At 45.2% G+C, this 17,761-nt stretch overlaps 2 annotated features.

Moving 5' to 3' along the window:
- Window positions 268-1,028: an enhancer, noted in NCBI's record as "OCT4-NANOG hESC enhancer chr6:107252150-107252910 (GRCh37/hg19 assembly coordinates)". NCBI's record gives its function as "activates a minimal SCP1, AML or CMV promoter by ChIP-STARR-seq in naive and primed H9 embryonic stem cells {active_cell/tissue: H9 hESC(naive and primed)}" and the evidence as "EXISTENCE:reporter gene assay evidence [ECO:0000049][PMID:30033119]".
- Window positions 5,975-6,269: an enhancer, noted in NCBI's record as "tiled region #10433; K562 Activating non-DNase unmatched - State 9:DNaseU". NCBI's record gives its function as "activates a minimal TATA promoter and a strong SV40 promoter by Sharpr-MPRA in K562 cells {active_cell/tissue: K562}" and the evidence as "EXISTENCE:reporter gene assay evidence [ECO:0000049][PMID:27701403]".

Below are 17,761 nucleotides of genomic sequence, written 5' to 3'. Positions count from 1 at the left end.
ATGTGGCAGCATTGAGAGGGATATAAAAATGGAAAAATATGATCATTTCTCAGAAGGAGTTCACAGTCTGAGGAAAGAGAAAGAAGCCAGAGTTGGTTGAATCATCTGGTGGTGACTGCTTGGCCGTTGGGCCAGCCAGATGGTCAAAAAGAAGCCTAGTGGTTACTGGGGACATATATGACATTTTTGTTGTGATGATGTTTGCATCTCTCTGCTGCCCTGCAGTTATGGAACTGTAGATATAAAACAAGGAAGTAGGATAAGGCAGAAATGTTACCTCTTGTGATAGCTCTGGAGTCAGACAGATTTGGGTTTAATTCTAGCCCCAATATTTATTGTGTGTTATTGGAAAAGTTGCTAAGTCTCTGTAGACCATAGTTTCCTCATCCACAAAATGGGCATAATTACAGCAGCTGCTACATTAGATTGTTTTAAGGGCTGTGTGTGTGCAGCAATTTCCTCCTTCCTAAAATGGGTATGGCTATTTCTCTCCCGGAAAAGAAGTGTGCCGTATAGTTAAGGTAATGCATGCAAAGTGCTAGGAGCTTGCCTGTCACCTAACCGTGGGGTCACCATGGAGCCACAGAGGGAATTTACAAATGCAAAAGAAGCTGATTGGCCACTGGGGTTAATGCTCAGGATTCTCGGCTCTGTCCTTCCTGTTTCTCTCCAGGAATGCGGTAGTTGTTCAAGCAATAATACTCCCATCTCCATTAATTATCTTAAAAGCTAATCAGAAGATACCAGGAAATGCAGCATTCTCTGCGTGCCTAACCTTTGCTGAACTCTTAAATGCTTTTGTTTGAGAGAAAGTTGTATTAACTCAAATCTATTCAGTCTTCCAGTTTCTACCTTCTCTGTTTCACCAGAGAGTATAATTATTCTCCAGCCTGGGAGGGAGCACTTGAAAAAAGCTGGGAGAGGGGGATGGGGAATAGGGAGACTGAGGGAGAGGGTTAGTTATTTAATAGTCTGAAAGTCAATGGAATGTTTGTTTTACCATCTCATTTTGAGATTTTTCTTGTTGACATGAAGAGTTAGATTTTTTGAGGATGAAACAACAAAATTATTTAGAAGCAAAGGAGAGCAAAGACTGAGCAGGCCACGATTTAGAATATTAGCAATGACTTTTGAAGTCAGAAGGGTAGTAAGATAAATGAAGGTAGTAAGATGACTGCCTTTGTAAATCTGGCTCACTTGCAATTCTGTCTTAAACTGTGAGAACATCAGTTATGCAGCAGAGTTGAAGGCACTGGAAGGGAGTAAGGCCTTGGGCCCATGGAAGCAATGGTATCAGGTTTAACTGTCTTCTGGGCTCTTGAGGCCAATAGACCTGGCACCTACCAGTCTGGGCTCTGCCACTTTCTAGTTGTATGACATTGAGCTATATCTCTCAAAGCTTTAGTCTCCTTGACATAATAATGGTGCTATTAGTCAAGCCAGGCTAAGCCATGCTGCTATATTTCCACTCAATAATGAATAATTAATTGTAAATTCATTCAGCATTTTAGAGTTTACTATCTGAATTTCAGGAAATAATCCAAACCAGGATTCAAGCACAGGTTTGTCTACTCAAAATCCCTTTGTTGTTGTATTACATCTCACTGATCTTACAGAGGAAGTCATAGGTACCATAAACAGCTGCTGCTCAACCAGACTGAAGGCAAAGTAATTATCTTGGATAGTTCTGGTGCAGCCTTTTTGGAAAAATAAACAAAAGAAAATTTACTTATGTGACATATCCTACCAAGCACAATTTCTGGAAAGTGCTCATTACCCTTTGCTAATTGGAAAAAAAAAATCATTTTTTTTTTTTACATTGCTTAGACTTATTTTGCATAATCTAGACTCATATGGGCCTTGGGCTTGTAAAGATAAAGGCTGAGAATGTATAAGAGCACCTAAGTGGGAGGGGCACCTGGGTTCTTTCGGTCATGCAGCAGAAGCCTGGCCCTCTTCCTCTGCACCCTGCATTACTATCTAAACCCTCTCACTGTGGCCACAGGGGCCATTGCCTAGTGAGTAGAAGTGGGCACTGATCTGGCTATAGTATTGCTAAGCCAGATCTTAGCTACCCAACCCTTCTCAGCTCTTCTTTTTGCCTAACCTGCTCCAAGGCAGTGCTTTTTAGACTTTAATGTTTGTGCAGAGCTTCCAGGGATCTCGTTAAAGTGCAGATTCTGATTCAGCAGGTCTGGATTTGGGTCTGAGATTCTGAAATTGTATCAGGCTCCTGGGAGGTGCCAATGCAGCTGGTCCTCAGACCACATTTTGATTACAAAATAACATTTATCAGCTTTTCAATCCAGAGCAAATGGAGCATCTTGAAGTCTTACAGTTCTAAAAGAGACTTTAAAAAAATAATAATATAATGGCGCCAGGTGTGGTGGCTTATGTCTATAATCCCAGCACTTTGGGAGGCTAAGGTGGGTGGATCACTTGAGCCCAGGAGTTTGAGATGGGCTCGAGTGGGCAACATGATGAAACCCTGTCTCTACAAAAAATACCAAAAATTAGGAGGGTGTGGTGGTACACACTTGTCCCAGTTACTCGGGAGGCTGAGGTGAGAGGATTGCTTGAGCCTGGGAAGTCAAGGCTGCAGTGAGCCGTGATTGCACCACTGCACTCCAGCCTGGGCAATAGAGCAAGACCCTGTCTTAAAAAAAAAATAATAATACAATAATGAATTCTACCAGCCATGCACAAATAATTTACTTAAATAGTCTACTCTTTAAAGATACTCTTCTCCTCAGAGAGTGTCAGTGTACTGTGTCCTGTGCAGTCAGAGTCAGCTGCCATGCCAGGATTTTTTGCTGGACTCTTTTACCCTGTGTTTTATTTCCACATGTGCTTATATCAGTTTTTGCCTAGTGCTTCAAATGTAGGTCTCTTAGAGAGCAGTGCCTCTAATCTGATCTCCACGTTAACCCTCGGCTGCTGATGGATGGAAAATGAGCCTGGCGGAGCACTATGAGATGAAGGGCTGGTATTCTTCTGTCTGCCACTCACCGTGAGCTCTGGCCTTGGCAGCTGCCTGCAGTTGTAAAGTCTGGCTCATGAAACCATGGTTTCCTGACCAGGTCCCCTTTCCTTCACACTGGAAACAAGCTTCATCCAGCACCTGACGGGGCAGGATCTATTCACAGCTTCCTCTATCTGGTTGCTTCTGTGAGGCCATGGGCTTCAGCTGACAGCAGGCGCTCTGGAACTTTAGCCCCCCGGGTTTTCCATATTTTTGTTTCCTTCCCAGCAGAAGGCAGGAGGGCTGGATCAAGCAACCACTGTCCTACTCCTGTCAGTCAGACATTAACATCCCTTCACAGGCTAGTATGAGAAGTTCTTTTACCCACGTCCCCTTGTCCCCTCCACTTCCCCCCAGCTGTGAATAGCTGAAAGGCAGCCAGAAGTTAGAAGCCCCTCACAGAGAAATCTGCAAGATTGCTTTATGGACGTTACCCAGGTGTTACTTTCTTACTGAGTCTCAGAGCTGTAATCAAATGCCTTCTGATGATATTCATCGTGCAGATTCGGGAAGCTTTGTGGGTCTCACTGGTATCCCACAAAGGGATGGTAAAGGAAGGGTATGAAATGAATGTGCCATTTGGTCTTTATCCCCCTTGCTCGCATCTGGGTGCCATGGCAACCACCTCACTCTGGAGAGGGGTCTACCAGGGGCCTTCCTATACGTCAGCCACAGCCTTGAAGGGCTGCTTCAGGGACAAGACAATTTTAAAAGAGTTTCCCATCAATCACCAAGACCTGTCATTTTCTTCTTCAAAATGCTTTTTGCATGCAGCTCCTCCCCCGCTTTGCCCGCTTGCTGGCATCTCGATCCAGCCCTCTCACCCGCACCCCCTCTTCCTGTGCCTTGAGGCCTGCGCTCCTTCTGCACATGCTTGTAAGAAAGAGCTCCCTAAAGCATTGCTCTCCTTGGGCCGTTCCTCCACTTGGAAATCTAAAATAGCTTCACATTGCCTTGGAGATCCAGCAAGAATACTCCTGCTTGTTTCCAGGCGCTCTGCAATCTGGTGTTCCCATTGTCATTCACTTCCCATCTCTTCAGTGGTGGCTTGGGTCAGCCTGCCTTCCCTGCTCTCCTCTCCTTGAGGCGGGAATTCCAGGCCCAGGGGTGTTTCCTCACCCCGGTTTTGTTCTTCAGATACTCTCAAAGCACCTTTTCCTTGTCCTTCCTAGTGCCCTGCACAGCTGTCATGAATGTATGGGTTTCATAGGATTTTGTTTATTGTCTGGCCTCCTCAACACACTGGAGCCCTCGGAGGGCAAGGACGCTGTATGAATCTGCTTAAGGCCACCATGACAAATTCCACAGACCAGGGGGCTTTAACAGTAGAAATTAATTTTCTTGCAGTTCTGGAGGTGGGTAGTCTCAGATCAAAGGCTCAAGAAGCACGTTTGGCTTCTCCTGAGGTCTCTCTCTTTGGCTTGCAGGTGGCCTTTTCTCTGGTGTCTCTTTGTGTCTCCAAATCTCCTCTTATGATCACACCAGTTAGATTGGGTTAGGGCCGACACTAAAGGCCTCATTTTAATTTCACTGCCTCTTTAAAGGCCTTATCTCCAAATGCAGTCACATTCTGAGGTACTGGGTGATTTGGGCTTCAACATATGAATTTTGAGGAGACATAATTCGGCCCATAAGAGGCTCAATCCTCTCTGGCTCATGTACCTGCAGCACAGGTACATGTCTGGACATGGAAGGTAGGACTCAGCACAGGTTTGTGCCCGGAATGATGCCTGTCTCTGAGGTGTCCTGCTCCTCACCCGCCAGTCCTTCCAGGCTCAGGTCCAGCCCTGCCCCACATGAAAGCCCTTCTTAAGCCCTGGGCGACTTTCTTCTCAGAATTTCTCCAGTTTGCACATATGCAGTCTCATCTTGCTAACTCTTTCAGGAGTTTTAGCTTTGACCCCTTAACTAGCATAGACCACTGGGCTGTTCCTCCCACAGATCAGCCAACAAAGGGGCTGCTCTCAAACAAACTCCCCTCCCCCACGTGAATGATGCTTTTTCCCTTTGGAAGGATCTGGATCCATCATTGATTAAAATCTTCACGAGGAGGTCTTTGAGGGAGGACGGCCAGTTCCAGGGAGTGGCCCCTCTCAAAATCACCTGGCCTTCCGGAGTGAGCTGGAATCGAAGCTGAGAGTTTGGGTACTTGAATCCACAAACTATTAGGTTGGTGCAAAAGTAAATGTGGTTTTTGCATTAAGAGCAATGGCAAAGATGGCAATTACTTCTGTACCAACTTAATATGTTTCTTTTGTCCTAGAAATAATCACAGACCAAGATGAGAAACACAATCTGCTCATCAGCCTTTCCCAAATAATGGATTGAAACATTTTACTAGCTCAAAGCATTTCAAATCTGTATGGAGATTTTGTTTGGTTTCTAACCATTATTCTCTTGCCAGGCTGGGGAGCAAGTCTTCTGAGATTTAAAGAGTTAAGACTGGTTATGTCTACACATCCCCGGATAACTTAATTATTGACCCAGCTTGTAAATCATTCATAGCTTTCCAGAGATATCTATATACTTCTGCTGGCAGCAAATGAAATCCTGGGCTATTTGTGGAATGGTGGTTGGGGTCAGGGAGAGTGTGAAAAATTAAGAATAACAACACTTCCTTTCCTTCCTGAACTTTAATTGCCCCTTTAAATAAAGCCAAGGCTTTCTTCCTTTGCCACCTTCTCAGAGCACCTCAGTTAACTGCCAAGAAGGCTCTGGTTTCACTTGCCATTCTCCATGTCATGCCACTCAAGGATACTAGGTGACTTTGGTTTCATTTAGGAGTGAAGTCGCTGGGATCAGCCGTCTTGCCTGGAGTCCCCCTGGGTTACAGCCAGGGCTTTAGGAATGCAACATCTTACATTTTAGGTAACTCTTCTAATCCTGTCCCTAAGGGGCTGGATAAGAAATGATGGCTTTCAGCTGGCCTGCCAGTGAGGCATCTAGGCGGGTTTGTGGTTAACCAAGGCCACACACCCAGTGAGCAACAAGATGGGGTTTAATGGTAGCTGTGTCTGGTGGGGGCCACACCTCTGTGGTGTCTGGTGTCAGCCAGGCCTGCGTACTTTCAAATCAGAGGAGAGGTCCGGTCAGGGTTCCCAGGCTGCAGGGTCAGGTCCAACGCCTGTGAAAACAGACACCCAAATAATCAAAGACCTGCATTCCTGTGTCTAAATAGCAGCTAATCCTCACTCCTTTGAAGGAGCAGAAACCACAGGTGACAGTGAAGCCGTCAGTAGAATCAGCCACCTGGTTTGTTTGTCCCCAAGTCCTATAGTTCTCGGAGCCCAAAGGAACCTTAATAGCGTCTCAGTCCATTTTACAGACAAGAAAAATACAGGGTCAGAACACTTTTATTGCAAATTAATACAACCTGGAAAAAGGCTATTTTATTCAAACCAGAAAAGAAATTAATGTCAAGAGACTTTTTTTTTTTTTTTTTGGAGTTTCGCTCTTGTCAGCCAGGCTGGAGTGCAGCGGCGCAATCTCGGCTCACCGCAACCTCTGTCTCCCGGGTTTAAGTGATTCTCCTGTCTCAGCTTCCCAAATAGCTGGGATTACAGGCGCCCGCCACCACACCTGGCTAATTTTTGTATTTTTAGTAGAGATGGGGTTTCACTATGTTGGCTGGTCTCAAACTCCTGAACTCAGGTGATCCACTCACTTCGGGCTCCCAAAGTGCTGGGATTACGGGCATGAGCCACGGTGTCCGGCCGCAAGAGACTTTTTAAGGTAAACAGTTGAATATTTTAAATGCCAAAAGCTGATGTCGTAATTTATTAAAGCCAGAGGCAAATCTTTCTCAACTTGTTCAGTCAACACAGTCCAGTTTCTAGTCAGTTTCAGCTGAGTGTGTCTGGAAGCACATTTTCCCTCTGGGGAAAACTACTGGCCTAGCTGGGCCGCTCCTTAGGGCTTTAGAGTTGTCTCTTTGTTTTCCTTGAATGTGTAGTGGCTCATTGGTGTGGGGTGGGGAGGAATTCAGACGAGGAGATCTGCAGGGGAATTTTCAATAAGCTTTGAGTGTTTTATAGGCATCCTTGCAGACCACACTATAAGATGTGGCTTTGTGACCACCCATCCCCTTACAGAGGCTTCTAAGAGGCTGAGATTTCAAAATCAAACTTCACAGGCAGGCGGACTCAAAGCCTCGCATCAACCAGCCACACACCACCTTTCTCAACAACCTCATTTTGCACCTTTGGAGAACATCTGTTAGAATCAAGCAAACCCTTTTCCCAAATTCTACTCTTGCTTGTTACCATTTCTGGCCAGTTGTTTTTACATGTTATTTTATTTAATATTCATAAAAATCCTACAAGGTAGGTTTTATCATCTCCAATTTTCATATGAGGAAACTCAAGCTCTGCACAGGTGAGCAGCTTTCTCAAGCTGCATAATTAGTAGCATCACCAGTGTTGTCTTCATTCCATGATGCCATTTAGCAAAGCACAGTACCCTATAATTTTTAAAAAGACTCTCTTGACCCTAGTGTAGAACTCTGTTTGGATAAACAGATGACCAGAGAATGTGGCTTGTATCAGGAGACTTCACACTGCAATTTTAGAGTCCTGTACCTGTAACCTGTGTGTGCGTATGTGTATACACATTACTATTGCCATTTCTTCTTCTCATCAGTTTCCCACCAGGATGAAGTCTTTGTCTGGCTTGAGGATGAAGTCTCTATCTGAAGGCTGCAGAGCTTTGTCTGTTTGCTGGGGAGAGCTGTGGGCCTTTGAAGTATACCTCTGTGCTGAATTGTTTTGGGGCAGGGGTAGGCTTGTGGGGTAAGGGGAGAATCTTGTTTACTCACACTCACAGTCCCAGAGACTGTGCATCTTGCCCTGGCTCAACCAGTTCACAGAGGCCTGGATGAGCTTTATGCAAGAGAGGTCTTTATGGAAACACAGACGAAAAAAGCTGCCTGAACACATGCCAGAAATGCCACTTCAGGCTGTTAGGTTCTTGCTCTTCTCTCTCTGTGCGCCTTTTTGGCTTTGAGTAATTTGAAGGGGCTCCAAACCCCAGTTCCTTACCAGGCCTCTTTCCCCCACCAGTTTCAATGCTTCTGCCAAACTGAAAAGGTGAGCCCAGCAACCCTCTTTCCTCAAGCAGTCCTGCTCCATCCCAGCTACATTCTAGGTCAGGACACTAAAAACCCACCCCAGAGTGGATGTACAAGAACAATATTTTACTCAACATTTTGGCTTTTTAAAATTAAACTTAGATGAAAACTGGCTTTACAGATGTTGGAACACTGGTGTGGCCCTAAGAGCTGGCTTAGTTGGGGTTTATGAGGCTTATATGAGATGATGTTTTCCCATGCCTGAGTTAGGGTGTAGTCTTTACATGAGGGAAAAAATTCTTCTATCTGACCGTGCTGCAAATGATCTAACACTAAGTCTATTGTTCACACTGTCAAAATTAAGAAATATAATTGTATTCATGTTGGGATTTATAATTTATTATTTTATTGTTATTTTTGTTTGTCACATTTATTAATTCAAGTTTTATGTTGCCTCATCTTAACTTTAAAATGTGCTGTTGCTGGGCACAGTGGCTCACGCCTGTAATCCCAGCACTTTGGGAGGCCAATGCGGGTGGATCATCTGAGGTCAGGAGTTCGAGACTAGCCTGGTCAACATGGTGAAACCCCGTCTCTACTAAAAATACAAAAAAAATTAGTGCGCCATGGTGCTGGGCGCCTGTAATCCTAGCTACTCTGGAGGCTGAGGCAGGAGAATCGCTTGAACCCTCCGCCGGGAGGTGGAGGTTGCAGTGAGCCAAGATTGCGCCATTGCACTCCAGCCCGGGCAACAAGAGTGAAACTCTGTCCCAAAAAGACAAACTAACAAAAAATAACAAAAAATGTCCTGTTTAATAACTCATACTTACTCTCTTACGATAAGGAAATCATACGTCAACCAACAAAAGATGGTTGAAAGGTGAGTTGTTGTTTTTTTTATTTTTGTTTTTTTAGGAATGTGTGGCCGTATATTCATTTGAGCCTCTGAATTGGGCTCCCTATCCCTGGTTTTGGTGTAAATTAAGTTCCCTTATCACTGTCTGGCAGAGAGGGAGCTAAATGGAATAAAGATGGGAATGTCTGCTGGCTTCCTCCCTTTCCCAGATAACCAAAAACTCACGCTATAATGGTCTGCCAAATTTCCTCCCTTCTTTCCTCTCCCAAAGAGGACGTGTTTTTATTCCCTTTTTAATCACGGGGAGAGAGGCAATATCAACGACTATAGTCAAAGGATAGACATAAGAGAGGAAGTAAAGAGAGGAAAATGCAAGTGCGGAGCTCAGCCTAGAGAAAGCCTTCGGGAAATTGTGATGAGGGACACCTCAGAACAAATGCAGCACATATGAGTGAAATGGGTGCAGAAGAAAGGGAAATTCATAAGTGTTGCTGTATGCTCTATGTTTGCCTTCTCTTTGTGGTTTCCCAGAATCTCAAAATAAATAATTTGAGTCTTTGAAATTCCTTCTTGTGTCAGGCTGTATTCCTTGACTACCATCTTGAGACTGAACTATTTGGATCCTGCCTTTATACAGGTTATACCCCAGAAATATTCCTGTGTCCCCGCTTTTCTGAGGCTTTCTACTTCGCCCCATTCAGAGGTACAATATTATATTTCATGGCATCAGGATTTGGCTATCCTGCAGTAGATCACAGTAATTTGGATGGGTCTACAATAAGTCTAGACACAGTTCACCTCAGGGGTCACTTAATTAACCTGATGAATCCAAGAGGAACTGTTTTATTACCATGAATGAGAAATTTTCCAATTGGAGTTTGTTTAAATAATGAGGACATGTGGAATATATTCTAATTGTATTGGCTAGCTAATATCTATTAGATGAGCTTCAAAATATTTCAGGTTTGGGGGCTCGGCATGGTGGCTCATGCCTGCAATCCCAGCACTTTGGGAGGCTGAGGCAGGTGGATCACCTGAGGTCAGGAGTTTGAGACCAGCCTGGCCAACATGGCAAAACCCTGTCTCTACCAAAAATACAAAAATTAGCCAGGCATGGTGGCACATGCCTGTAATCCCAGCTACTTGGGAGGCTGAGGCAGGAGAGTCGCTTGAACCTGGGAGGCGGAGGTTACAGTGAGCGGAGATCGTGCCACTGCACTCCAGCCCGGGCGACAGAGCAAGACTCCATCTCAAAAACAAACAAACAACCCCAAATATTTCAGGTTTGTTCCATCCTCCTGTCCAGAGAATCCTAAGAAGCCTACGCTTGTCTTGTAGAAATGTAGTTAGAATTGTCTTTTAGAGGGAACAGTGATTTTGCTGGTGGCCTTTCAAATTGAATTTTTTATTAGAAGAATCTCCAATGCCATAAGCTGTCAAAAAGATGTGGCAGCATGTTTATCTATAACAGACATATCTTCAGTCATTTTTTCTCTGTGTGTTTAACTCGAGAAGTTGTATTATTTATGACTTTCAAAAATGTATTCTTGGGCAATGTTCACAGCTCAGTCGCCAAGAACATTCGTGGAGTCCCAGAGAGGTGTTCTGCTTCCCTGAGCTGCCAAAGCCTCAGAGTTGGGACTTCTCTCCCAGCCTTGTGGAAATGGTATGCTCTTAATTTCGGGGCAACTTACTAACATTTCATGATCATCCAGTTTTTCCTTTCATCCTCTCATTCACTGTTCAGATGTTTGTCACCCCAGCAAGCGGTTTGTGAATGACAAGTCTTAAGTCATGGATAAACTGGAGGCTTATTTGTGGTGGTTATAGTTTCCCTACTTCTTTTTGGACAGGAGATAGAAATTTATCTGTATTTCCTAATGTTTTCTCTGCACTCTTTTAACGATATAACTGAATTTTGTCTGTGCAAGGCCTCATGCTCCAATTCTTTGGCTTTCTCCATTATCCCTAGCATTTCCCCCTCCTACTTTCCCAACTCATCTCCTGGGGTTATATATAGCTGGGGTTATATATAGCTAGGGTTATGTTACATTTTTACCAGTCCCTCCAAAGGTCACCTAATCCAGGAAGACTCCCCTGATGACCTTAGTTTGGGTTAAAGGGATTATGCTTTTTTCCAGACTTCTTCGATGCTTATTTTGTATTCTGTGTATAACTCACTTCCCCCACCAGGTTGCAGGCTCTAGAGAGTGGTGTCTGGATGTCACCTATTCTCTTTCTCACTGGGAAGCACCATCCAGGTAGTCAAACGCAGGCGGTGACTTTGGTAGGAGCTGGGGCTGCAAGGTCCAGCCAAGATCAAGGGAGGTGACAGGGCCTGAAGGATCAAGTGAAGCCAGAGTCCACAAGGAGGACAAAGGATCAAATGCCAGGGTGTATATGGGTAGATGTGAAATCCAGGGGGCCCAAAGGCAGGGATTTGAGTCAGGTCTTCAGAACTTAGAGTCTGGAGTTTGGGAAATAAAATAAAAGTGAAAGGAGATTGGGATCAAGGCTCTGGAGGGAGGAAGGAAAATGCCTCAGCAATTTTCTTGAACCATCCTCAGTGTGTTGGAGTCCAGTTGTGGGGTAATGCATAGGACAGAGAGGTAAACAATGCATAGTTGGTTGAATAAATAAATGCTTAGACATTTACAAAGATGCTTCCTATTTGAAGAATAGGCAGGATATTTGAGTGTAAGAATTGAAGGTCAAAGTCACCTAGGATTTGTTTTCCAGGGCAGAGAATATATATTTCTGTGCACCCCCAAAGGGTATTTTAATTTCTTACTCATCATTCACCCCTTCAATCAATATGCAGTTAAAACTTGATCTTCTGTTCAATCAACAAATACAAAATTCAGTTGGTTATAGTGCCTCTGAGAAGTAATCACTACATAATTCTGTATCATTCAGGGTTTGATCAAAGATGCAGAACCAGTGTAAGTGATATAGAATAATGGATGGCAGAGTCCTAGTTTTGCCATGAGGGAGCTGGGGGGAGGCGATCTATGCCCATCATTGCCCCTGTGGTGTCTACTGTTGACCTGAAGTCCTATGGGTCAGATAGAGAGACAGTTGGAATGGGAGCTGGGTGTGGATAAGAAGAAGGACAAACACGACACCACAAAGACGAAATGGAACCCACGAAGATAATTAGAAACCACGAAGACAGACCAACTGGAACCAGGTATCCCTCTCCCATCCACTCCAGCCTCAATTCTGCATGACCTGCTGGAGAAGCTGGAGCCCTTCGCCATGGAGCTGCACTATCACCTGGCCCAGGACTCAGAGAAACAGATGGAGGAGATCTGGCAGGAGCTGGAGGAGCTGTGGGTCTGGGCACACACACCACATCAGTGACAACGTTTGCCAGCTGCCACAGCACCTGCTGCCCTGCTGCTACATTCAGGGCATAGGAAATATGGCCACTGCTCCATGCCCACCTTCCAAGTCTGATGGAAAATATGTCTTGTCGCCAACCATAACCTAGAACTACACAGGGAAGGGAATTCTTGAAAACACAGGTTTTGTTAAGCTCAGTTGTCATGGTACAAAGCCACCACAGTCTATTCCTTGTAAACTTGGCATTCACACGCACTTCTTTTAACCATGTTTAACTTCCCAATAAAGACAATAGCAACATTATGCTTTTGCCTAACATGATGCAACTCTCCTTGCACTGCCTAAAACATGATATTCTCTTCTGCAAAGAGGTTTTAAGTCTCTCTATCTATCTTTGGGTGATGTTAATCCTCCTGTAGCCAAGTCACATTTCCCCTTTGCTATTCTGTAACTTAAATACTGAGATACAGGTTAATTACCATGAACACATCTTATGTTAGATGGTAGGTGACTAAGAGAAGGTAATTACCTTCTTTAGACAATCAAATATTTTTGACCAAAGCTAGACTCAGTAAAACTTTTATTTTGAATTAAATTATGAACCTACAAACCTGAGGACTTCTTTCCTGAGAGCTTAGGTTGGCTATTTCATCTGTTTTTAATGCTGTCAAATTTATCCTGAGAGGAGTCAGGCACCTCAGCCAAGCCTAAACTGTGATCCTGCAATGTAGCTTGGTCTATCTGATGAGCTTATATGTGGTGAACCCCCTGTGCATCTGTTTATCCAGGAAAACCAAAATTGTGCTGAAGAAGCTTTGAACAAGATCGCACCACTGCACTCCAGCCTGGGTGACAGAGCAGGACTCCATCTCAAAAAAAAAAAAAAAAAAAAAAAGAAGCTTTGAACAGAGGCCCCAGGGGGACACAGGTTTAGAGATTAGGAGGAAAGACAATGTCTGCCCAGCCCAGTCCCAGGGTTTGGATCTGACCTTCGAAAACAAGGCAACTGCAGTCAGAACGGGTAGGGGATGTATGGTTTGGGCAGATGCAATCTGCTTTGGGTCTCATGTGGCCAAATGCAACATAGAGCTGGGGAATGGGCAGTCTCCCCATTTCTTACAGAACATCCTGTGTAATTGACACACACTGTAGCTCCATTTGGCATACCTGACGTGTCTCAGCTTCGCGGGAACGTGGAGGTAGTATCCTGGGCAGGAGGGCACAGGCCTTTAGGAGATTGATGACAAAGGGGCAGCCCCTGGCCTCCCTGGTGGCTTGCAGGAAGCAACAACGTCAAACAGGCTGGAGTGGGAAAACATGTCTGAGATTTCTCTGAGACACTTCGTGGGGACTAAAAATAACCGGGGGGCAAGGATAAAGGAGGGGCAAGAAGGGAGGTGAGGAAGCACAAGGACCTCGGTGCTGATGGAACCGTTCTGTATCGTGATTGTGGTGGTGGTCACACGCATCTACACAGGCGATAAAATGGTACAGGGACACACACACACAAACACACACACAAATGACAGCATGCAAAACTGATGAACTCTGTGGGTTGCACCAGTATCAATGTTCTGATTTTGTACTGGATGTTAGCATTGAGGGAAACTAAAAGTACACAGGACATTAAGTCAAGGAAAAACAATAATAGTAATTATTATTTTAATTAGTTAATAATTTAATTAATAACTAAAAATATTAATTCTATTAATATTTACTGAAAGCTAACAATACGTTAGGTCCTTCACTTTTTTTTCCTGTTTAATCCTTACGACACTCTTATGAAATAGATGTTGGTATTACCTATTTTTATAGACAAGGAAATTGAGTCCAAGTCATGTGAAGGTCACTCAACTAGGCTGTCTGAGTCAGAGCCCGGACTTCTAACATTGAAGTCCTCAAGGAAAAGGTTTAGATTGCAGTGACATGGGGGATAGGGTGGAATACAAAATTCAGCACGAAGGACTTCTGAGCAGTTCTGTGCGGGAGTGAGTGGAGCTTGCTGGCCGGGTGAAGTGCTCCACAGTGGGGCAGTTCTCAGAGCAGACTGGACAGACACGATCTGTCACGGCCCTGTCTTTTGGTTCCAGGCTACATCCACCTCTTAAATGACTTGGGCTTTCTCATCTGTACAAAGGGGAAAATAAGTTTTATCTCATGGGTTGTTGATAGAATTGCAAGAGGTATAACAAAGGGTTCCAAACCTTCAGCCTCCTGGAAGTCACACTTTCTTTAATATCCACATCGAATGGCTCAAGCCTCCATCCGAAATTACATGGGGAATCGCATTTCCCCTCAGCATTTTCAAAGATTCCCCAGGGCCTTCGCATTTGCAGAGCCTGCCTTTCCCTCCCATTCCTGCTCAGACCCAATTCTCGGTTGCCCAGTGTGGTCTTGGGCCCAGTGTTTGCCCATCAAAGCCACTGTCCTCTCTCCACACTGCTTCCTCCGTGCCGGACTTTGCTCCCTCCTTTTATTCTCCAAGCAACACCTACATCTGTTCACAAATGTTATGGTGGGTAGTGCTGGCACATTTGGCTGACTTTCACTGAAGATTTGGGGTAGCAGAAGAAAATTACAGTTCTACCTAATGCAGCACAAAAACATGCCAAGTCACACTAGACAAACTCTTACAAATTTCTAACAGGTTGTTTTAAGTACCAAAACCTCCTTCCTTTTTCTCTGGAAAGCCCCTTCTCTCTTCAATAACCATCCTCTTTCTTCAAGTGCTAGGGCCAATTTGGCAACCCTCCATCATTTTATTATGCTGAGTAGTCCAGCTCTTTTTAATTTTTTTTCTGTCTTCCAGACCAGGTCCTGGGGACCACCCTTCCTAAAGCAAAAGGGGAGGGATGCATCCGTCATTTTCCTCTGTGCTTTGGCCTGTGTGACCATGGGACAGTTATAGAGCCATGGTGAGCCTCCATTTACTTGTCTGCTATTTACTTGTCTACTTTGGAAGTGGAGAGTAACAGTACTTAAACCCCAGGATTATTGTAAAGATACAGTGAACATAAATCACTTAGACTGCACCAGAGCTTAGTGTCTGTTTATTCGTATGATTTCTCTGACTTTCACAACTTCTGGAGACATCCAACCTTGTTTCTCCTCTTGTTAGATAGTGAGAGTTTCTGCTGTTCCTGTCCTCCTGGACAGAGGGAGGTAAGTACTGTCCATCAGGGCACATTCTTGAAGTCTTTGCCTCTGCTGCGGGTGGTCCCTTTTTTTGATGTAGACGGCAGGAAAGAGTCTCAGTGTCCTGAAAGTGACCAGGCCTAGCCCTGCCCAGGACAAGAAGGTAGAAAGTGGAGGCCACAGTTGCTGTGGTCTGTTGATGAAGTGTTTGAATTGTATATTGACCCCACAGGAAATTAGATCATAGACAGTCACATGGCCCTGGAGACTTGGAGTAAGAACTGATGAGGGAGGCTCAAATGTTTGATGCATGGTTTCCTTTGAGAACAACTGGGAGGGAGTGGAAGGAATGGAATGGCATAGAAGCAAGGAAATGGATTTTAACAGTAGGATTTAAAGTGTCTATGACTATTGAAGTGTGTTGTGGATGAGATTTGGTGCATATGAATAAATACAAAGAGATGCTGTTCAGGGCCTTATGTAAGCAAGAATGGAACAGAGGGAGAGGGAGAGCTCAGCAGCCTTGCTGAGGCAATGGAGGCATGTGCACCAGAGCCAGGGCCAAGTGTGGCAAAATCTACTAAAGGTTCTTCAGAGGCTAGCCCACAATAGGATGGCCCCTGAAGTCCAGTAAATCTTGGTGTTCCACTCACCCCCTCCCCTGATGCGAGGTGCAGCTCCCTCTTTCCCCAGGGGCCCTTCCTCTTGACTGCCTCCCCCAGGATAGGGGGATGGCTATGCCCTGCTGGTTCCTGACCTTCTCCTGCTCCGTTGGAGACCATTATGCTTAAGCATTGATTATCTGTGTCCAGTCAGTGTTTTGCAGCATTCCTGGTGCAAATGGCCTGCCTGTGTGCTGAAGTGGAAGGAAAGGGCTCTTAGGGGCACATTCTGTGGTCCAGGAGGACACAGAGCTGACCTTATCTCTAGCTATTGGCCATCTGTGTTCCCTGGAGCAACAGAACACCAGGTGCAGAGCCCCAACATGGGGATGGAGCTTGGAAACCTGGCTGGAAACAGAAATGGAGCTACCCTGTTAGGTGGGGGACTTGGGCAGGAGAGTGAAAAGGCTCCTGTTTCTAGTGGGCGGAGAGTCTGGGGGTAGGGGTCTGGGTTCTCTCAGATGGCCTGTAGAAGAAGGGAAGATGCTGCAGAGAGGAAAAAGCCCCCATAAGGGACCAGATGCTGCACCCCCAGGTCCTATTTGATTTAGGGAATGAAGGAGGGAGGAGAAAAGAAAGAAGAAGAGGGGGAAGGAAGCTGCAGACTACTTGTTCTGGGCTAGACGCCATGCTGGGCTCCAAGAAGAGGTACAAAACACTGCATGGCACCCAGCACGTACAAGTCCCTTGGTCAGTACAGCTGTTATCATTACGAGTGACGTTACTGCTTAATTCTAACAACACCACCATAAGGCAGGTATTATTATACTATCTCTATTTTGTGGATGACAAAATTGAGGTTCAGAAAAGAGAAGCAATTGGTGTAGGGGGTTGAAAATTGAAACACAGCGTATCTGACTCCAACGCCTGTGTGTCCAAGCCCTGTGATAGGGAAAGATGTAGGTGTTCCACAGTACCTGGCAAGGCAACAACTGGCGATGGTAAAGGGCCAGTATGGAGTGGGGTTGGGTGAGGGTAGGGGAGTTAGGGAGGGAAAGAAGCCCTCTCCCTTGAAAAGTTCCCCAGGGCTGGGCTGCCGTGCAAAGCCACTCGCCAGGAAGTATGGGACCAACGGAGGCCAGAGGCAAGACTCTCCTGGCTGCCCCACAGGCTTAGAGCTGGGAGGCAGGTGCTGCGTGCCAGCAGGAAGAGCAGCCACTAGAAGAGAGAGAAGTAGCCCTGGCACCTGGGGGAGCCATACCTGGGATGGACAAAGGTAGGCATGGCTGCTGAGCCTGCACTGAGTAGATGGTCCTGGATGCTCCGGCAGGTGTGGTGCGGCTTGGTTTCCAGCAATCTTGCTGGTGGGTGTTCAGCCACTGACTGTATGTGTATATCTTTGTCATTGTTGTTATCAGTATTATGGTGATGACTTTCTCTGACTTTTATGCATTTAGGCTAAAGGAACCTGGAAAAACACATGAATCAAAATAAAAGTTGATTCACCTTTCCAGGGCAGAGTTACAAGCGTCAAAACTCTCAGGCGAGATCTGCCAGTGACGTTCTGACCGCATGCCTCTCTGCAAGGAAAGTGGTATGTGTTGTTTTTTCCAGCAGTGGAAATACAAATGATTAACTCTGGAAACCATGGCTGTTTCACTGATAACTAATTTGTTTGCTGATAAATGATTACCCAGGAGCCAGAATAGAGACCCAAAAGTCAAACTGCAAAAATT

This window comes from Homo sapiens, chromosome 6 (assembly GCF_000001405.40).
Source record: "Homo sapiens chromosome 6, GRCh38.p14 Primary Assembly".
Lineage (NCBI taxonomy): Eukaryota > Metazoa > Chordata > Mammalia > Primates > Hominidae > Homo > Homo sapiens.
The sequence above is the reverse complement of the archived record's forward strand: the minus strand, read 5'-3'. Positions and strand labels throughout refer to the sequence as shown.